The sequence below is a fragment of the Homo sapiens genome, chromosome 4 (assembly GCF_000001405.40).
Source record: "Homo sapiens chromosome 4, GRCh38.p14 Primary Assembly".
Taxonomy (NCBI): Eukaryota; Metazoa; Chordata; class Mammalia; order Primates; family Hominidae; genus Homo; species Homo sapiens.
In genome coordinates this window covers 53,051,734-53,074,542 of record NC_000004.12, presented here as the reverse complement: position 1 = coordinate 53,074,542, position 22,809 = coordinate 53,051,734, and the positions used below count along the sequence as shown (strand labels likewise).

The following is a 22,809-nucleotide window of genomic DNA, read 5'->3' as shown; positions in this document are numbered from 1 at the left end:
AGCTCCCAGAGGTAGTGATTCCTCTGATGGATCTGGGCAAAGTACATTGCAAACCTTCTGGAAAGGATTCACTATTCTAGATGCCATTAAGAACATTTGTGATTCATGGGAGGAGGTGAAAATATCATTAACAGCAGTTTGGAAGACATTCATTCCAAGCCTCATCGATAACTTTGAAGGGTTCAAGACTTCAGCAGATGAAGTAACTGCAGATGTGGTAGAAACAGCAAGAAAACTAGAATTAGAAGCAGAGCCTGAAGATGTGACTGAATTGTTAAAATTCCATAAAACTTGAACAAATAAGGAGCTGCTTCTTATGGATAAGCTAAGAAAGTTGTTTCTTGAGATGGAATCTACTTCTGGCAAAGATGCTATGAACATTGTTGAAATGACAACAAAGGATTTAGAATACCACATAAACTTAGTTAATAAAGTAGCAGCAGTGTTTAAGAGGATTGGCTCCAATCTTGAAAGAAGTTCTACTGTGGTGCTTACATGCTACAGACAAATCTGTTATGAAAGGAAGTCAGTTAATAAGGCAGACTTTATCGTTGTCTTATTTTAAGAAATTGCCACAACTATCCCAACTTTCAGCACCCACTACCCTGATCAGTCAGCAGCCATCAACATCAAGGCAAGTCTCTCCCAACAAAAAAATTACAACTCACTGAAAGCTCAGATAATCATTAGCATTTTTAGCGATAAATATTTTTAATTAAGGTATGTACATTGTTTTTAGACATAATTCTATTGCATATGTAATACACTAAAACATACTATGAATATAACTTTTATATCAAAAAAAATTCATGCAACTTACTTTATTGCAATATTCACTTTATTGCAGTGGTCTGGAACCAAACCCACAGTATCTCTGAAGTATGTCTGTACGTCATTATGCCCACTCATGTCTGCAGATCTTTTGGCAGGGAAACTAAAGTCTTCCACCTTTTCTTTTCAGCATCTTGATCTCATTTTCAGAGGATAGTCCAAATGCAGTGTTGAGAGGGTCAACAGGGCTTGGAATGTTTGGTATGCTAGCCACATTCAGGTGGTATTTACTGCTGGGGGCAAAAATGGTTCAGGTAAATTATAGGGACTCGATCAACTGTATTGGGCTTGTAAAATTAGCTTTATCCAAGCAATAGAAAGTGAAAAAGTTTCAAAGCCTTGTGCATTTCCAGAGGGAAAAATAACACATACAATCATCCCTCAGGAATTGGTTCCAGGACCTTCTATGGATACCAAAATTTGTGGATGCTCAAGTTCCTTACATAAAATGGCATAGTGTTAGCATATAACCCATGCACATCCTCCTGTATTCTTTAAATCATCTCTAGATTACTTATAATACCTAATATAATTAGGTATTATATGTAACCTAATTAGGAAATATAATTAGGAAAATGCTATATAAATAGTTAAACTATATGATTTGGGGAATAGCAAGGAAAAAAAGTATGTACATGTTCAGTACAGACACTATTTTTTGGAATATTTTTGTGCTGCAGTTGTTTGAATCCATAGTTGCAGAACCCATCAATGGTGGTTTAATTAGAAGAAGACTGAGTCTAATCAAAGGACATAAAAGTGAGGGTAGCCCTGGACATCTCAGGGACTAATGAAGCGACATCACTGTCTGGGGTAAATACCTGAGATTCATTGTCTTGTGGCCACAGAAAACTAGGATGCGGACACACAAGGAGTGAGTTTAGGAGTGGGAGTTTACTAGGTGAAAGAAAGAGAAGAGCTCTCTTGCTACAGAGAAGGGTCCCAGGGAAATCGGTTGCCACTTCCACGGTGAAATGCAGTGAGTTTTACAGATGAGGTTGAGGAAGCGGTGTCTGATTTACATAGGGTGCAAAAGATTGGTTGGACCAGGTGTGTCATTTGCATAGGGCACAAAAAACTAGTTAGGACTAGGTGTGCTGTTTGAATAAGGTGTGAAAACCTGGCTTTCCCCCCCCTAATCTTTTATTATTCTCTGGGTTCTTTGCCTGGTTGGTGCCATGTTGCCTGTTTCTTCACTGTACACGGGGTGACAAAGAAAGGGAAGATGGAGCCTCCAGGTTGAACATACTTGAACCCCAGGTAGCCCGTTTCTGTTGGCACAGCTGCTAACCTTCACCTGTGCAAGCTTCCAGGTTGCTTATCTATGTCTGCAGCTCGATATTTCAGGCTGTTCTTTGTTAAAAAAGAAATAATTTGGGGCTGCTGTTTGTTAAAAGGGAAATTCTGCTGAGGACTCTTTTATCCTCACTATCTGCCTGAATAAGTTATTTCTAGCTCCTGTATCACTAACACCAGAGCCTGGATTGCTAACAGTACCCTTTCTCTCTCCATCTTTGTCTCTCATCTGGGCCTCTTCTTAGGTGTAGGTGATGATCTGTTGCACATGAGATTTTCTTTAAGTATCTGAGATTCTGGACTCATATCATCCACCAGAGAAGCAATTTTGTCCCACCAGCTCTAGTTGTAAAGTTGTTATGGAAGCACGTGGGGTATACACCACTGAAGGTATAATAGGATCTGTCACCAGAAGAAAGGGTGGTGGTGGTAGTGAAGCATTGCACATTAAACAAGGACTGTTTGGCCTTCTGTATTTTAAATAATTATGTGCAAATTATATTACTATCTGGTATCAAAAAGTAGAAACAATTTTATTAAAATAAAGCTTTTATAATATCTAAAATGTTTCTAGTTATATGGAATAAAATCCCCCTTTTAGAATATAATTCTTACATTTAAGTCGCATACATTTGCCTTTCTTACATGTTTTTTAAGAATGATTTTTTATTTTATTTTTTTTACAAAACTGGAGGATACCTGTACATGTACTACAGTCATTGGAATAGTGATAAGACCATGGGATTTAGAATCATTCACATTGGTTATAATTTTTACTGCATTATTAACTTTTGGCAAGATAACATGCCTTGAGCCTCAGGATTTTTTTGTTTGTTTCTTAATAAACAGATGGGATTAAAAATGATATTTATTTCTGTGATGATTGTGAAGATTAAGAAAGATAATGGATGTGAAGAAAAATTTGTTAATTACAAAGTACAAACATTAAGTGGTTATCCTTTTATATATATTTCTAAAGTGATATTCTTAATTTGGGGTCCATGGACCACCTCCCTCCAAAAAATTATATGTAACCTTGTATGTGTTTATACCTGTATCACCTAATATTAGGCTCAGCTGTGAGTGACAGAACACCTACAAGGAACTGTGGCTTAATAAAATATAAGTTCATTTCCCTCTCTAATGTACAGACTCCAGAGAAAATTCATCCAGGATGCGTACGATAATTCCATAATCATCAAGGACTGAAGCTCCTCCTCTCTTGCTGTTTTACTTCACTAAGCCTATGGCTTCCTTCTCATAGTTCAGCATGACAGCTCAAGCTCCAACTTGTCATATCTACATTCGAGCCAACAATAAAGATGAAGTGGAGGAGGGAGTGAAAGAAGGCCATGCTACTGACCTTTAAGGACACTCTTTAGAAGTTGAATATGACACTTATGCTTATATCTCATTGGCCAAAACTTAGTCACATGGCACATCTAGCTAACAGAGCAACTAGGAAACATAGTCTTTATTCTCAGAGTTTCATTAGTAAGCAAGAAAGAAGAGCGCCTAATGGGAGAGTGTTCTATGTCTATAAAATATGGGTATATATTTTTATAGAGAGAAAAGGAATCTATGACTTTCATCAGAATCTCAAAGAGATGTATTTTAATGTATAAACCTAAGAAAACAGTGTTTCAAAGTGGAATCAGGCGTTTTATTCTGTAAACCTATAGAGTAAAGCATCTTTCTAGATCATCTTCTACCTGTGCTGTGAACAGAAAAGTAGGACATAATCAGCCAACCAGTAAATGCAGATTTGGTGCTATTATGTACACAGCACAGACACCAGTTGATAATGTTTATCATTTTAATTTGCTCTCTTAAATCAATCACTTTACACATCATAAGTCAATGACTTATTTCTTATGCATCTACTTATGATCTATTACTTAAATGATTCCTAAACAATTTAAAATTTATCTACCCTTTTCCTTCATCATTTTGGATACAAATTAAGATTCTTTTTGAGAATTAAAAATTAACTTTCGCTTTTCATAATTAATTTAATTTCAATTTAATGAAGCCTAGTGAACATCTTTTTTAGTTTAATTGAATTTCTGCTTTAATGCTTTTGCTTTGTACAATCATCTGATCTTTTAATTTTTACCTAGTTTTAAGTAGCACATGTTGAACAACACATAAAATGTCAAAAATCCTAATTTAATTCATTTCAAAAGTCAACAACTGATAAAACCAACTCTAAGAAAGCAAGCTGTTTTTAGACATTTTAGTGGTCTTATTTTTGTTTTTATTGTGCATAGTTTTCTTTGCTGATGCAGAAATTTGTAGCTATAAGTGGTTGGTTTCTTTATTTTAATTAATGACTAGTAAGAAGTTTCTCTCTTTGGAAGAAAGCCAGATGTCAACATTGAAACACACGACCCCTTCCCTCAAAATGGTCTTACTAATTTAATTGTCAACATAAAAAATATGTCAGGACTTTAAAAAATATTAAAAATAGTTAATTATGAAGCTATAAAAATATCGATTGATACAGAAAGATGTATATGTATATTATTAAAGTGGAAGGAAGGTTACAAAGCCAGAATGTCTAATATAGTTTTTAAAATATTTAAGTGTCAGGGAGAAAACAATCTCTAACAATACACACCAGTTATCCAACTGAATAGTAGCAGCTATTTTGGGATGATGGGATTAAAGGTGATTTTTACTGTCTAGAGCTTCTTTTCTATATTGTATAGATTTTTTATAGTACCATGTTGCATTACTTTTATTACTGGGGGAAAAAACAAACTGGCACATTTTTCCATTTTGGAGACAAGTTATAAGAAAATTGATAAACAAAAGTAGCATTCTTTCTTTTTTCCACCACAGAGTTCTATCATCTAAAAATCAAAGAGCCACCTCGAAAGTAAAATTGTATACCCCATGACTGACTACTGTGATTTTGAAGCATAGCATTTAGGAGATTTCACAGGAAATTTGAAATTTTGCTGCTTTTGCTGATGAAGTCTGTATGCAGCCCATGGTGGGCTGAATTGCAATATCTACACTGAATTCCAATCAGATATGAAAATGTAGTAAATTAATGTGAATTAGAATTGCAGTCTCCTGAATATCCTTCCCTTCAGAGTCGTGGACTCATTCATAATGAGGATGTGTGTGTGTTACTTACTTATCCCAAGGTGTGAGATTAGCAGATGACTGCTGGGCAAATCAGTAAAGCTTTTGTGCACTGTGAAGGCAAGAATAAACCAGCTATTTTAACCCAAGCCCAGGCATTCCCTTCTCTGGATTCCCTAGCGGATCCTTCAGCTGAATCTGAGCCTTAAAAATAAAGCCACTTTCTATGCCTCTCTGTGCATACTGAGAATCCTGCCAAAGCCTTCTATGAGGTATCTGTGAATTTACCCTGGGAGAATACCACAGAGTGTCCCTGGCTTCCTGTTCTAAATGACCCACTCCAATGACACATTGTAATATTACTTAAGGTAGGGAGAATGAGCTGCCAAAACCCATTTATCACTTTGCTGGCCTTGGACTGTGCACATCCGTCTAAAGTTAAACAAGGGTCATTTTATCTGATGTTTCACTGCAGGGTTTTCCACCCCTACAAAGTACTGTTTTTTAAATATATGTAAAAGAATGAATTGGGGAAGATAGATGCTTGAAATTTTACAAATAAATATTGAATGTCCAAAGCTAGGAGACATTGGTTAAATAAAGTATGGTTATTCATAAAATGGAATATTATGCTGCCTTTAAAAATAAGGCTGAAGAATACTTAATAAAGTACAAATATGGCCAGGATATTCTATTATATGGATAATTATCATCTAATCAAAATAATATGCAGAATATTTGGTTACTATGTAGAATATTAAAAATTAAAAATATATACACAGGAAAAAGTATTGAAAGGTATGCACCAACACATTTTTGTAGTTACCTTTGAGTACAAAGACTAGGTCTGAATTTTCCTCTCTATCTTATTCTCCCTCTCTCCTTCATCAATACTAAATTTTCTTTCAAAATAAACTAAACATGAAGTCATTTAAATAAGTTAACTGGTGCTAATGCTTATCTAAAATAGAAAAATTGCCAATTGATTTGAAACAAGAGGAACAGATTTTGGAACATTTTATTTCTGACAGTTAAATTTATGTATATTTTAAACAGACTCTTTAGAAACTGTGGAGTGGGTCAGGGTGATGGTATAGAGGAACTCTGTGCTTTCTTCTTAATATTTCTGTAAACCTAAATCTCTAAAAATATCTATGAAAATTTTGAAAGACCCTTTACATTTTCACTAGTTGGCCATCTTTTATTGTCTCATGATCACAGGTGATGTCAGTTAACATGTTATGTTAACATTTGAGTTTTAATAAGTCATAAGGGCAGTGCTTATAAGCAAGATGATTCTGTCTATAGTCTGGAAAGAAGCAAGGACTTGCTAAGAACTCTGAACTCTGTTGTATCTGGTATTATAGATTTCTTTTCTGGCTGGCTCCTCCTAGCCTCTTGAACCCCAAACTCTATCAGCCTTCATCTCTCGCCTAGTCATAGACCAGGCAGACTATTCACCTGCTAGATTCCTGTATTTGCTGGTTATAACCTCTGTTCTCAGAGCCTTTGTTGTGTTCAACACTGTATTAGTCTGTTCTCATGCTGCTAATAAAGACATACCCAAGAAACAAAAGAGGTTTAATTGACTCACAGTTCAGCATGGCTGAGGAGGTCTCAGGAAACTTACAATCATGGCAGAAGGGGAAGCAAACATGTCCTTCTTCACATGACAGCAGGTGAGAGAAGAATGAAACCAAGAGAAGGGGGAAGTCCCTTATAAAACCATCAGATATCATGAGAAATTACTCACTATCCACAAGAACAACATGGGCAAAACCGTCCCATGATTCAGTTATCTCCACCTAGTCCCACCCTTGACACATGGGGATTATTACACTTCAAGGTGAGATTTGGGTGGGGACACAGAGCCGAACCATATTAAATGCACATACCCATTCTGAAAGGCTGCCACAGTGACATCACAGCCACTCTTTTGGTGTGATCTTGACCCCAGAGAGCCTTGATTGAAATGTATGTTTGAGTACTAACCACATTCCCCAAAAGAAAGGTGTGAGGCCCAGGATGAGTAAAGCATGTTTGAAATGAGTACAGGCACTACAAGGCCATGATACACAGGGTTGAGATCTCCATCCCAATCCTGTACATTTTGCTCCATGGTCCCTATAGCAGGAGGCTACAGGGAGAAAGAAGATAAAAAGTAGAAGGAAACCAAGTAAGATTAGTGGAGGAGGTAGCATTCTACTTTGTTTGACCTGAAGTAGAATGCTAGTTATCATTACCTAACCAACCAGTAGTAACTGGCTAACCAATTAACTATAATTATTTTTCCTCTGCCTTTCATCTCTCCATAAACAAGCATAAGTGCATGCCCAGCTCTGTGCTAGGTTCTAGGGTTTTAATGGCAGGAATGAGCATCATCAGCCCCTTTTCCTCATGAGGCCTGCATTCTAATGGGAGAGCATGGATTGAATAACTGCTACGTATAAAAATGTAAAGTTGCTGCTGTGACAAGTGCTGTGGAGGAGAGGAAATAACATATCTCCACATATTATGGAGAGGGTTTGAATCTAAGGAGTCAGGAAAGACATCCCCAGGGAAATAACACTTCAGCTGACATCTGAAGGATGAGTTGGCGTGAAATAGGCAGGGAAAGTGAAAGGTTTTCTAGGCAGATGGAACAGAATGTGCTAAAACTCTAATATTGTTGGTTGGGTGGGGGCCCAGATCACTAAAAAAAGCCTTCAGTTTTTAATGTTACAACTCCCAAACACCTCATAGGACCCATACAGGTGCAAGTGAATGTTCTGCTGGACCTATAATATTTATTTTTTGTATGTTTTGTTTCACCATAAAATCTGTTTTTACAGCTGTACTTTTTGGTACAGAATTTGAACACATACCATAAAACAATCACAAGGAAAGAGCACATACATTGACTGTTCTGATTTTGATTGCTAAGTGGCTACTGTCACCCAGCAGTTATTTTGTCACCTTGGTAACTATGAAATAAGGACCAAAGGTCAGGCTCTCAAATTTACATTGCCTTAGTAACATGATTCTTGTACAGTTTTTAATTTCGCTTAATGTTACAGGTTTGATTTTATATGCAAGCCAAAGTAGATTGAGCCTTGCCCACAAGTTGTTTTCTTTGTAACTTTTTGATAAGGTAAAGAGTTTTGTCAAGCACTGTTTTTAATACTTGAATTTAGAGAACTTCAAAGACAATTAGTCCTGGTCAGAACATTCATCTGTGATTATTTTCACGGTGAAATTGTAGTATTAAGTCTCCTGATGTTAGGGGAATCATTTTACTTCAAAGCGTAGTTCCAGAATATTCTTTCTGGTCTTGCCACAAGTTCATATTCCTTAAAGTTTTATTCTTATAAGAGCTGTTCAGTGAATACAGTAGTGAGAAAATGGATGAAAAGCATGTGGTATTTTTATTTAAGGGCTCAGTTGATCATTTTCTTTTTTAAACCTCAGTCAGCAATCTTACTTATTTCTCCAAAATAAGAGTTTGTACTGTGCATGTGTTAAAACTGTTGAAAAATGACAAATACATAGTATGGTAGTGGAATGGCATCAGGAAGCACTATGTGTATTTAATTTTTTAAGTTAAAAAAGCCAAACTCTTATTTTGATAAGATATGGTAACAGAAACCAAATGGGAAAAAAATTATCATTTTTTTATAAGATAAAACTTTCGGAATAGAATAGTAATGCTCTTGAATAATGTTGACCTAAAAGATACTATGACATACTTTGAAGTGTGATATTATTAATATTAAAACAGAATAACAATTAATGTCTTTATGACCACAGTTTAAGAAAAATAACAAATTCTTTTAGGTGAACCAGAGTGTTACTGGCGGTTTGCTATGCTAGTTTCTCAGCAGGATTTCAGAGATTTTCCTTGCTTTCTCCTAATCTGACATCTGACTTATTATTTGTATTGTAAGTGTTCTTACAGTAGAAGTATTCATTTTCTTTCCAGATTTCCTTTCATATTTAGACTAAAGTTTGTCTCTGTTATCCTTTCCCCCAGGCTACTTCCCTGGTCTGTATCCTTGAAGTAATTTATATATGGTATAAATATTCTTAACTCATAAGCCATATTGAATTTATTGTGCTAACTGCCATAAGTGATCTATGACCGCTGCTAGTTATATGCCTGTCATTTGTGCAGTTATTATTCTACTGAGATGATCTGCTGAAAGTTTTCCTGCCACTCTCAAGGTATCTGCTGTCATGACTGGAGTTCTTTCCTGTCTACTTTCTATATTTTTCTGATTAAATTTTTTTGCCTTGTATAACTACTGGAAAAACTTTGGCTCTTTTCTAAAAAGCAACATGCTTTCAAAAATAAAGCACACATTCTGGTGAAAAACTATAGATGTCCCAAGAGAAAATATTAAGAACGTGATTAATTAAAAGTCATAATTGATTGAGTACTTTCTACATGCCAGACACTGAGCTAGGTACTTTACATGTATTATCTCATGGAACCCTATGAAGTCACTGCCTTTTTATGCCTGTTTTTTCAGATGAGGAAGCTGAAGCTCAAGTAAGTTAAGAAACTTGTCCAGAGTGTTATAAATTGGTGGAGCTGGAATTCAGACCTCATAAGGAGATATTTTAAGACTGTGATTGTTTAAGACAAATAATGTCACACTTATTTGCCTTAGGGTACCTCTGAAAGTGAGCTTATTCAATAACAGAGCCTTTCCCCTCAACCACTATGTCTTACTGTTTCTTCTCCTCTTTTAAACACCTTCAGTGATCTAGGACTGTTACTTGGATTGTCCTCAGAGTTTCCAAGAGATTGGTATTGAAAGTAAGTAATGCTGCCTGTAGTTTTGAAAATGAGGCATAATGGGCTCTATCGTGTCTTCAGGACAGTTACCCAAGTAATAAGTCTCCACCCTTCCATTTCCAATTGCCTAAAGGTCATTTGCATTACAGGATATTGTTAGACATTTCTTTAAATGGCAGTCTATTGCATTCAAGTATTTAATCAAAATGGTATGTGTTGGTGGACATACAGATGGGAAGAATAGACGCTGGGGACTACTAGAGGGGGAGGGTGGAAGGAGAGCAAGGGTTAAAAGACTACTGGGCGCTATGCTTACTACCTGGGTGAGGGGATCACTTGTACCCCAAACCTCAGCATCATGCAACATACCCATGTAACAAACCTGCACATGTACCCTTTGAATCTAAAATAAAAGTTGAAATAAAAGATAAATTAAAAAGAAAACAACATTTTTAGAAAATGGATGTGTTGGGAGCTATTACCAAGAAAAAATGAAGGTAAATCTGAGATAATACTGATATTTTATATAAAAAGGAAGGAAAGAAAGAAGGAAGGGAAGGAGAGAGGGAGGGAAGGTGGAGACTGCAATTTGCCTCAAAATTAGCTACAAATGATAGTAAATCCGGGCTAGACAGTTGATGCCTTGAGCTTAGCTAGAAAAAAAATTCTGATAAGCATAGACTCTGCCAGTGGTACCCTCTTCCAAGAACTGTTCATGTTCATCTGAAGTGGTTCTAGAGGGATACTTTAATCGAGTGAATCTACTTTTAGTGATTAAGGTCATTTAGCATGGAGAGAGCTTGAATAAATTCTGGGGACCTTCATCAAATAACAGTGAAGCTTATTCAGTTATATAGTAGTCTTTTCACTCTTCTCATTTAGTAGAGGTAAGCACTATTGTCCTAGAGTCAGACAGATTTGGGTTTGAATCCTAACTTCCCTGTTTATCTGACTTGAGACTGGCAAGCAGCAGCAGCATCTGAGCTTCACTTTCCTTATCTCTTAAAGGAGATGATAGCATTTATTTGTTCGTTAGGATCATTAAATGAATTTATGAAAGTGAAATCAGGCCTTTCTCCTTCCTCCCCTTTTTATCTCCTTTTAAAATGGGAATTATTATTTTAAATGTATTTATGATATCTTTCCTTTAAAGAACTATGCTTCTTTTATTAGCTTTGGAGAATTGTTACATTGGGGCATAAGTTGTATACAGAATAATTATTATGGGTTTTTAAAATTAAAACTTCTAATATAAAGATTGATTACCCAGTTTTACATGTTGAAAGGTGAAAGTCCTAAGATCACTGTTTGTAAATAAATTTTGAATAAAGTCTGACAGAGGCATTATTCCAAATACTGTTTCCAATTGTGAAGAAGATGAAATTTCTAAATTAACCTTTGCCATGTATTAACAAGCATATGCTAAGCTCCTATTTTTGTATGCAAAACCTTGTCTTAGGTATTTTAAATATAAACCTATATTTATAATTGAAGCTTCTATTTTGTCATCTGAATGTGAAAAGAACTCAAGAAATTACTAGATGAATGGTTTTTATTTTGGTAGGGCCAGGTCATTTCACATTTGTAATAGTGTTTTTGTATCGCTGTGCACCTATTAAATTATATGGGTTCCATGTAATAAAGCCAGCTTTGTTACTCAAGAGACTAAATCCCTGGATGGTGCTCAAAAAACCAGTTTTTAAAATGTCTAATCACAGATGTGATTTGCATCTCCTCTCACTTGAAATGAAAATACTCTTTTTGTGTGTCACTGTTCAGCCATAATTTTATCCTGGTGTTACATTTATATCACGATGGGATAAAAGTTGTAAGAGCTGAGTAAATTATTAAAAATTTACACAGGTAGGAAGAACACCTGATTTGGATTTTCCATCAGAGCACTGTTCTCCCCACTCCCAGGCTCCCCAGCTGACAAGAAATAATGTTTCTGCTAGTAGGTATGTAAGTCATGATACTTAAACAAAAAAATGCCTGTCATTCTTTGTTTGGTTCTTTGATAACTAGAATTTGCATTTGAACAGAAATGCAGAGGAAAATTTCTAAATCAACTGTTGTCTACAAGGAAGTATGGGTCTAATGAAAGCAAACAAAACTCTTTAATGAGAGACTATTATTATTATTATTATTATTATTGTTATTGTACGTATTTTTTTCTTTGAGACGGAGTCTCTGTAGCCCAGGCTGGAGTGCAGTGGCACGATCTCAGCTCATTTCAACCTGAGCCTCCCAGGTTCAAGTGATTCTCCTGCTTCAGCTTCCCAAGTAGCAGGGATTACAGGCGCCTACCACCTTGCCTGGCTAATTTTTGTATTTTTAGTAGAGACGGGGTTTTGCCCTGTTCGCCAGCCTGGTCTTGAACTCCTGACCTCAAGTGATCTGCCCACCTCAGGCTCCCAAATTGCTGGGATTACAGGTCTGAGCCACCACACCCGGCCTATTATTACTATTATTATGTTACATATTATGTTATATAATTACAATAATAATTATATATATTTTAAGTCACCTAATAGCATCTTGTTACCTCCCTAGACTAAAGGCTGCCATCACATCTGGATGTGATAACATCAGGCCAGCTAGCTCTCTCACCCTCTGTCTAATCGTGGACTTGGGAAAAATCACTTATTGTTTCTCTTGCACCAGTTTGTGTCCTAGTATTACATTTCTTTTTCAGGTGCTGAAGGAGGACTGATTAAGGCAATCAGATTTGCATAATGGAAATAGGGGGACATATTGCCGTTATGAGAATTTCTTGTGACACAACTCCCCAGGGAAAAAGTCCTTTAAAACTACCATCTGACCTCCCAGCCCTGAAGCGCTTCACACATAGGGTGATGTTTCCCAATGAATAAATAACGCAGAGTAAGCAGAACTCTACCCTAAAGGAACTCGCAATGTAAATGCAACAGAAGGCAGAACCATGGACCTCAATCTACATTAAGGGCCTGCCATACTCTTAAAAGCCCTTCTGATTTGTAGTCCTCCTGTCCTCGTTTGTACTAAAGTGCCTTCTGGCAAGTAAGAGAGGAAGATTCCTAAGACAGGAATGGACTGGATGAATCATGGTGGTCCATATGATTTAGAGCAGGAGCTCTGGATACAGGCTACTTGGGTCCAAATCCTAGCTTTTTACCAGCAGTCTGACCTTGGACAAGTTATTGAACTTCTCTGGGCTTCGATACCATCCTCGAGCATTGTTGTGAGGACTCCGTGAGAAGAGCCAGTGGAAAGCACTTAGAAATGCATCTAGCACAGAGTAAGAGCTCCATGAATATGAGCATTAGTATTTGCCATGCCAAAATATAAGTTCAATCTTGCATTTTCTTCACTAATGGATGTTCAGAACTCAAGAAAGACCTGATGTTTTTTAAGCTCTTAGCATATTTTAATTAAAGAGATGTCAAAGCAGGTTTATAAAAATTGTGGCATATTTTAAAGAGTTATATTTCTATTATGTATGTGTATATTATATTGCTATTTATAGAAAATTACTTGGTTAATACTTTTAACAAAAATATAATGCACTGCATTTTTGTAATTCACAAGAAAATTACAGGATGAATTCTAAATTTATAATTCACTGTAGGTGTTACGACCCAGTAAAGCAGCAATTCCTAGACTTTATGATCATCTAGACCTCTTTATGCTTTTATAAATAGCAATAAGCTCCCCAAAGCTTTTGTTGATATGGATTTTATCTATTGCTGTTTATCTATTAGAAATTAAACCTGAAAATAATAAACTCATTACATGTTAACAAAGTCACATATCTTTATATTTTTTTAATTATACTTTCAAAAACAACAAAAGTACATATATATAGAATGAGTGGCATTGTTCTCTATTTTTCCAGATTTCCTTAATGTCTCATTAAATAGAAGATAGGTAGATTCTCTTATCTCCTTTTGCATTCAGTATGTTGAGATATCACACCAAAGGTAGCCATTATGTACTTATGAGAAAATGAGAATGAAAAAGGCAAATAATGTATTAGTATTCTAATGAAAATAGCATTAACCTCGTGGACAGCCAGACCACACTTTGAGAACCTTTGCAGTACAGAGATCTAAGTTTCATGTGTATAATAAGCATCTTTCAACCTCTTGAGGACATTTCTGTTTCAATTTACATGTAAAACTCACTTGGAGATGATGCCACATATCCACATTTGGAGGTCGTTCATGGATCAGAGCTTGAGCCAAATCTCCACCTCCCAACCTACCCCAGCCCAGTTACCTTCGTGATCAGAGTAACACGAAGAACAGTACTTTTTTCATAGAGAAAGTAGAATTAATGGGGCCTCTAGTTCCTTAGCACTCTGACATAATGCTACAACTTTTTTCTTTTCTTTTTAAACCCTGACTCTCCTTTATTCATTCTACACTCCATGAGCAAGACATATTGTCTTGGCCTAAGTATTATGGAAAATTATTTGCTCATTTGAGAGAATCATTTTTCTGGAACCAAGTGTTCCCAGTAGTAAGCACATGAGAAAGTTGGACCAATGAGCCCAAGAATCTTTTCAATGTGAGATTCTATTCTTCCCACTTAGAGTGAGAGGAGTATCATTAAAAAGGAAGGAAGAACTTGCTTTATGTATCTAGTTACTGTAGCACTGGAGATTTTTTACTGCATAAAATTCCTGACTACAAAATTGCAAGGAGAAATAATGTAATGTATATTATATTGCTATTTGTAGAAAAGTACTTGGTTAATGCTTTTAACAAAAATATAGTACACTTATATTTTTGTTCTGAGAATTATTGAAGTCCATCTCAGTCAACCTCCTGACATATCAAGGAGGCTTGAATTGAGGTAAATTGCACTAATTAAAGTATTTGAAAGTTGGCTATACGGAAGAAGAGGAATGCAGATTACCTCTTCCTAGCCACAGTCAGGAAAAAAAAAAAGAGAAAGGAGATTTTACCAAAAGACATTTGCAAAATAAATACTGTATCACTAAACCAGGCTCTGCTTTATGCTTTTACATTCGTGTTTAAATACTCAGGCTCTGAAGTCAGACACAGCCAAGACCCATGTTCCGGCTGGGCTATTTGGCACATAGAGGGCCTTGGATACGTAACATCTCTAAACGATGATTTCTTCATCTCTAACATGGAGCTAAAAGTATCTACTTCTTATGGTTGCTTTGAAGATTGAATGAGGCAAGTTGTTATCATGCCAGGCCCATGGTAGTTGTAAATGCTGGCTTTGCCCTTCACTACAGATCTTCATCTGTAAAATAGGGCTAATGACACCTCTCTTTCACAGTTGTGGGAGGATTTAACCAGCACAGGCCTTTGCTGTTTCTGGTGTCCTTAGTTTTGAGGTCTCTGTTTTATTCTATCCAGGATTAATTTCCTATTTCCTTTGAGGCAAGGGAGAGATCAGTCACCTGGCTGGAGTTCATCAGGGGAAGAAATTTGATATTCTAAACTGCTTCTAGTAGAAACTTGCAATCATTTCTCTCACTTGGCTCTACTCTACACCCTTGCCATCAGCTCCTGGTACCGCGATTCCTGAGCAATTCTGAGATGCTGTGGCACTGAGTGGCATGCTACTTGATGGTTTTCTCAGCTCCAAGTTACTTGCCACTTGTCTGTGTGCTTTCCATCTTCCAAAAGGCTCGTTTTATCTTGCATCAAGTATATCTCCTGTCGTATTTTCTTTGTGGTACCTGTTTTTACTGCTTTACTGTCAGTTTTCCTGGGGTTCTGGGGATAAGCAGATATAAACTTGTATATTCAGTCTTCCACACTTATCTGAGAGTTCTCAACCATTGTGTCTTAAGCAATTGATAAAGGACCCAAACCCAGAGATCGAAACCAAAAGATTCAGTTAAGGGGCAGATTGTTAGGGGCAATTTTGCTTTCCTTTTTAACAATAAATTTGAACTGTGACTGAAAATTGGAATTTCCTATCAGTCTTTAAAACTATCAGTGCCTGATTCAGAGATTCTGGTGTCAGTGCACAGGGATTGGCCTAGAAAATAGCAATTTTTAAAGCTTTCCAGGTGATACCAATGTGCAGCCAGCCCACTGCTATATGGACTTTGGTCCTAAAATTCTGCATATACTTAAAATGGCTACTTTCCCCGAGACATTATATGTATTTGAAGCTAAATATACAGTTAACTATATAGTTGTCTGACTGTCTGATATATTAAAAACATACTTTTGTTTTACTAACTATAACATTAATTCAAATCTTTTTTTATGCCTATATGAGTTGGGGATATAACATTAATTCCCCAACTCATAGGCATAAAAAAGAAAATATTTGAATTAATGTTATATTTAGCAAAACATTAATAATAATCTCTATAATAGTAGCACATAATAAAATTATCACCTCTGCCTTAACATTATTTAAGATAGAATGTTAAAATTAATCATATTTGTAATTAGATTTGTAATTAGCTAAGTTAGTAATAAATGTAGCTGTCTATTGAATGGTCAGATTTTATCTGATAGCCTTATTTACAATGGAAGTTGCCGAGGATGAAGGGGAGATTCCCTTCTGCTTGACTTTCCGAGATGGCTTTTATTGAGAGTGCTCAGTACTTTTCTACCCTCTAAGCAATCTCCTCTTGTAAGCTGGCATCAAGTTCCTGCTGATCTCTGCACTGCCCTTTCCCTGCCAGATGCTGGTGTTGGTAACGTTACATTTTGGCTGCTAACACAGCACAAGGTATGCATGGCTTTATTTTTATGCTCTACCACATTTGGGAAAGTAATGAGAGGCCTCTAATTATTCTCCCTCCCTATCTTGAATGGCACATACCTACTTCTTTCTTTTATAAGCAAGCACCCTGTTCCTGATAATTGTCTTTTATTTTTCCTTTATTTCATCTAAAAAAAATGGGATACATGTGCAGAATGTACAGGGTTGTTACATAGGTATATGTGTGCCATGGTGGTTTGCTGCACCTATTGACCCGTCCTCTAAGTTCCCTCCCCTCACCCCCCACCCCTCAACAGGCCGTGGTGTGTGTTGTTCCCCTCTCTGTGTCCATGTGTTCTCAGTGTTCAAGTCCCACTTATGAGTGAGAACATGCAGTGTTTGATTTTCTGTTCCTGTGTTAGTTTGCTGAGGATGATGGCTTCCAGCTTTATCCCTTTCCAGCTTTTTCCCTTTCCATATTTATCCCTTTCCACCTTTTTCCCTGCAAAGGACATGATCTCATTCCTTTTTATGGCTGCATAGTATTCCATGGTATATATGTACCACATTTTTTAAATCCAGTCTATCATTGATGGGCATTTGGGTTGGTTCCATGTCTTTGCTAGTACGGGAGTCCTGCAATAAACATATGTGTGCAGTGCCTTTATAGTAGAATCATTTATATTCCTTTGGGTATATACCCAGGCTGCATGCAGTGGTGCGATCTCAGCTCACTGCAATCTCCACCTCCCAGGTTCAAGTGATTCTCCTGCCTCAGCCTCCAGAGTAGCTGGGATTACAGACCTGCACTACCACGCCTGGCTAATTTTTGTATTTTTTTATTAGAGACGGAGTTTCACCATGTTGGCCAGGCTAGTTTCCAACTCCTGACCTCAAGTGATCCGCCACCTCGGCTTCCCAAAGTGCTGGGATTACAGACATGAGCCACAGTGCCCAACCTGTGATATTTTTGTCTTTGTCAGACTTTCCTCCTTTTCCCAGTATCTCCTTCCTCATTATTACTCTTCCTTCTTCATCCTTTGGTCTCCCCACTCAGTGCCCCTATCCCTCTTCCTCTTTCATCACTGTGTTCCAATTTATACAAGGATCTAAAACTGAAGAGTGGGGGATGTCGAAACATAAGTTATTGGTGGCTAAAAGTGGTGCTTTACTAGAGAAACTGAACAATTAGAAAGAAATGTACAATATATTCTGAAAAATCTATCTCTAGAATGAAGTCATGACAGTTCACCCTACTCTACTAGTTTTGTCCAAGCTAATTTTCATGTATGATTTTGTAATCTGATTGAACAATACTTGGAAAAAAAAAAGTTAGATATATAAATGAATTTGTTGTGGATAAAACATAATTAGCCTATCCCTATAAAATCTACTCTTTCCTTACTTCCAGGAGTGGTCCTTTATTTGAGAGGCAAAACATATACATTTCACATTACCATTTTTGAGACTTGATGAAGCCCAGTCCTAAACTGTGGCTGAGGCTGAGGCTGAATGGTTGGGATTTACTGTGAGAATGGACATTCCCCCGGGTCCTCACCTGAGGTCATTAAATTGATTTAGTCTAGGTCCACTGGCTGTATTTTAATGCAGCTTAGCTGTAAAAATACAAGGCCCCATTGTATAATACAGGCAGTCATTGTTATTTTTCTAGGCCTGTCAATGTAAAAAATGTGTCTGTTTGCCTTCCCCTATGACCTGAAAAAAAAAAAAAAAAGCTACGTTACAAAGTCACAGGACACCCTGGAAATGTTGGTTTTGGAAGGTATCTTGGGGAATAACATAGAAAAAATCTGGCAGCATAATTTGGTAAAAGTGCCCAGGATACACATGTTCATTTTGGGGTACTTTATTTTCCTTCCTTTGCAGTTAAGTGCTGGGGCTAGGAGAGAACCACATGAAGCATCTCTAAGAGGCGGGTGGCTCTTCTGATGGTGGTCTGCTCTGGCCAGCGAGCTCATTTTCACTGCAGCCAGTCAGGAGAGAGTCTGAGCAAGTGGGCACACACTCCAATACCCAGACCCTAGGAAGCCACACTAAATATACTGTGCCCAAGATTGCCTAAAATAAACCAGATGGCATTTGGTGTGCCAGGGCGTTTACTCTAATGTTTGTTGTGGGTTGCAGAGGGAGCCATGTACCCATCATAAGACTCTGGTGAGTCCTGTTTCATTCTTTTTTCTCTCTCCTTTTTATTTTTATTTTTGGCATGTAGTCATTGGTAGCTGTTCCCTCAGATCTGTCAACCTGTGGGTTCCTCCAGGGTGGTTCTTTTTTATCCTAGTAAGTGCTGGGATGAATACCTTACAGGAAATCACCACACAGCTTCATATGTGGTTTTGTAATGGGCCTGTTTTTAGGCAACTTTCCAAACCCTCAGGACTCCCAGGCATCATTTCCCAAGGGTAGCTCTCCAGCTGTGAACGTTTAAATGCTATAAGTGAACACAGGGGAGAGAGGCCATGCCACTTTTCTGCCTGTCGTCCACCATTATGTGGGCTTCCAAGGTGCTCTTTGGAGAGTGTCACTGATCACAGTCCCACTGGAATCTCATGGGCCTGGATTAAAATCTGAGCTGAGCCACATCCTGTCTGTGTGACCCTAGCAAGTTACGCTTTTGGAACATCAGTTTCCTGATACATAAAATGGAGAATAATGACAGACCTTCAAAGGGCTGCCATAAAGATTAAATCTAATAACGAATGCAAATTGCCTAGTAGATAGGAAGCACCCAGTAAATGTTAGGTACCACAATTAGGTGTTATTACTGATATTGTGGTGAATATCCTGGTCTAGCTCATGCCTTACAACTCACAAACACAAACTCCTTCATTATTGTTATTGCTGCTTCTCTCCCCTCGATCTGTTAACTTTTAAAAGTTGGACTTCAGGCCAGGGACAATGGCTCACACCTGTAATCCCAGCACTTTGGGAGGCCGAAGTGGACAGATTGCTTGAACCCGGGAGTTTGAAACCAGTCCAGGCAACATAGGGAGATCTTGTCTCTACAAAAAATACTAAAATTAGCCAGCCATGGTGATGCATGCCTGAAGTCCCAGCTACTGGGTAGGCTGAGGTAGAAGGATCGCTTAAGCCCAGGAGGTCAAGGCTGCTAAGCAGCTGTGATTGTGCCACTGTACTCCAGCCTGGGTGATAGAGTGAGACTCTGTCTCAAAAACAAAAACAAACAAAAAAAAAACTCTTTTTTTTTTTTCTAAGCTAATCATTTTCTTTCTTTACTTCATCTGTCTCTGGCTTCTTATATTCTAGAAGGATTTAGTTTCTTTAAATGAAACATTAGTTAAAATGTCCTCTTGTTCTTTGCTACCTGTTATATGTCTTACTGCATATTTTTCAATTCAAACTTCGCAAATATTTATCAGGTACCTTCTGTGTGATAGGCACCATGACAGGACTTAAGGGTATAGAGCTGATTAATACAAAATTCTGCCCTCTAGAAGCCTTAAGTCTAGGGGGAGAAGCGGACATGTAAAAAGTCAACTAAAATGCAGAATGCTAATTCTGGTCATAAATTATAAGACATATGAAAAATACACAGGGGAATATTATTCTGTCATAAAAGAGAATGAAATCCTGTCATTTGCATGGATGGAACTGCAGGTTACTAAGTGAAATAAGCCAAGCACAGAAAGACAAATAGTACATGTTATCACTTATACATGGGAGCTTATGTGGATCTCATGAAGACAGGGACTAGATGGGTGGTTATCAGAGGCCGGAAAAGGTAGTGAGGAGGGGAGGATGAAGAGACACTGATGAATGGATACCAATATACAGCTTGATAGAAGAAATAAGACTTAGTGTTTCAGAGACCAGAGGGTGACTATAGTTTATTATACTCTACTGTGTATTTCAAAATAGCGACAAAGAATAATTCTAATTCTTTGAAAGAATTAGACAAATATTTAAGGTGGTAAATATTCCAATTATACTGATTTGATCTTTAAAAATTATCAGAATGCATTAAATTATCACATGTACCCTGAAAATATATACATCTACTATGTATTAATTTAAAATTTTTTAAAAAGAAAATAGAAGGGAAACAAGGGGAAGATGCTCCTGACTCAGCCCCAGAGAAGCGGAGCCATTCCCTGAGGAACAGGAGGGTGTTGGGTGGACAGCAGGCCGAGTCCTCTCTAGGCAGAGGAAAAGCGGATGCAGAAACATGGAGGTGAGCAATGGGATGGCATTTCTAGAGAACTTGAGGGAGAGCCATATGATCGGAGCACAGTGCGCAAGTGCTGAGCGTCAGGAGTTGAGATGAGGGCATCTGATTGGGGAGTAGATTACAAAGAGCTTTGTATGCCTTGCTGAGAATTTAGACCTTATCCTATAGGCTGTGATAGAATCACTGCAGGGTGTTGACCAGTGGGATCTCTGTTTTCTTTTTCATTAAGATATCACTTATCTACTAAGGTGGACAAAACATAAGTTTACAGCCTAATGAAATTTTCATATGTCTGGACCCAGTGCATATACAATATTCCCAGCACTGAAGCAGCTCTCTTGTACCTCCTCCCATCAGTCCCCCTGGAGGTAACCAGCATTCTGACCTCTATTACTATATATTTGTTTTGCCAGTTTTTTTTTTTTTTTTGAGACGGTGTCTCTCTGTTGCTCAGGCTGGAGTGCAGTGGCATGATCTTGGCTCACTGCAACCTCCGCCTCCTGGGTTCAAATGATCCTCCCGCCTCAACCTCCCAAGTAGCTGGGATTACAAGCGTGTGCCATCACACTTGGCTAATTTTTGTATTTTTAGTGGAGACAGGGTTTCACCATGTTGGTGAACAGGCTAGTCTTGAACTCCTGACCGCAAGTGATCCACCCACCTCGGCCTCCCAATGTGCTGGGATTACAGGCATGAGCCATGGCGCCTGGCCTGTTTTGCCAGTTCTGAGCTTCATGTAACTGGAATCATACAGCGTGTGCTCTTTTGTGTCTGGCTTCTTTCATTCCACATTTTGTCTGTCAGATCCATCATGTTGTTGCATGTCGCAGTAGCTTTGTTTGTTGTGTAGTATTGCATTGTATGGAGATACCTTTAGGGTCACTTGTAACTAATTTTGTTTCAATTGTTGACCTAAAATCACCTGAAAGTGAACCAAGAACAGACTTCTTCACTTTCATTTTAGCCATCTTTACAAAATGCTCATTGTATAAGTCTCAATTACCATTTGGGGTTTAAGTTGAAGACTGCCCCACTGTCCTACCTAAAGGATCAAGGATCTGTCAGTAGCTGGAAAATTTAAGATCGCAAACATCTCAAGGGAAGATCAATTCAAGAGTATTCCAGTTGATAATGCACAGTCTTTATTTTCTTGTTATTCTTTAATCTCCAGTGGCCTTTTGACTCATCAGTGAATGAATGATTGTTGAGAATGTACTAGATGCCAGTCACTGGGACATGTGACAAGAAGTTCGTAACGAGCAATCAAGATTCTGCGCTAATTTAGAGGACTGGGAAAGATTTTGTTTTTAATTTTTCTTGTTAAGCTGAGAACTGAAAGATGAGCAGGAATTAGGTAGGGAGAGCAGCATGTGCAGAGGCCATAAGGTGGAGGAAACCCTCAAAGTTCCAGACACTAAAAGAAAGTTAGTGTATCTGGAGTGAAGAGAGTAAGGGGAGAGAGAGGCAGAGTTGAGTTGTGGGTAGTGACCTAATCATGTGTGGTCTTGCAGCATGAAGGAACTTAGATTTTATTAGTAAAAGCAATGGAAAGCTTCTGAAAGGTTTTAAGAAGGGGAATAATGTCATATTTTTGCATTTTAAAAATAATTAGATTCCCTATTGTGCTTTTCTTACAAGAAAGGAGGTCTGGTGCTGAATGTCTGACCTGTAGGTTTGGGCTCTTTAGAAAAATTAGATCTAATTGAGGGACCAGTCATTATTCTTTAATGGCCTCATCTCATTTTTTAATATGTTCAGATCTTTTCTGTATCTTCTTTCTTTATTACATCTTTGACTTTTAGAAATTCCTTCTCTTTGACTAAAAGATGAGGAGAAATACTCAGTAGAACTAATTTTAAAATCCTTACTTTCTTCTTTAATCAGAGCCTTCTTTTATTGGTGGTAAACTTCCGGACTT

At 37.5% G+C, this 22,809-nt stretch overlaps 1 protein-coding gene across 6 annotated transcripts in view; it reads left to right on the top strand.

Annotated features, from left to right (window-relative positions):
* The window catches only part of SCFD2 (sec1 family domain containing 2), a 493,080-nt gene that overhangs the window by 291,519 nt on the left and 178,752 nt on the right, over positions 1-22,809 (top strand). The window contains exon 6 of one of the 6 annotated variants that reach the window (XM_011534375.4): positions 12,693-13,779. The exons of the other annotated variants lie outside the window; for them this stretch is intronic. Within the exon in view, the coding sequence (XP_011532677.1) occupies positions 12,693-12,733 (41 nt within the window). The 3' untranslated portion in view covers positions 12,734-13,779. Of the gene's footprint in view, positions 1-12,692; positions 13,780-22,809 lie in introns of those variants that run through there. 6 annotated transcript variants of the gene reach the window in all.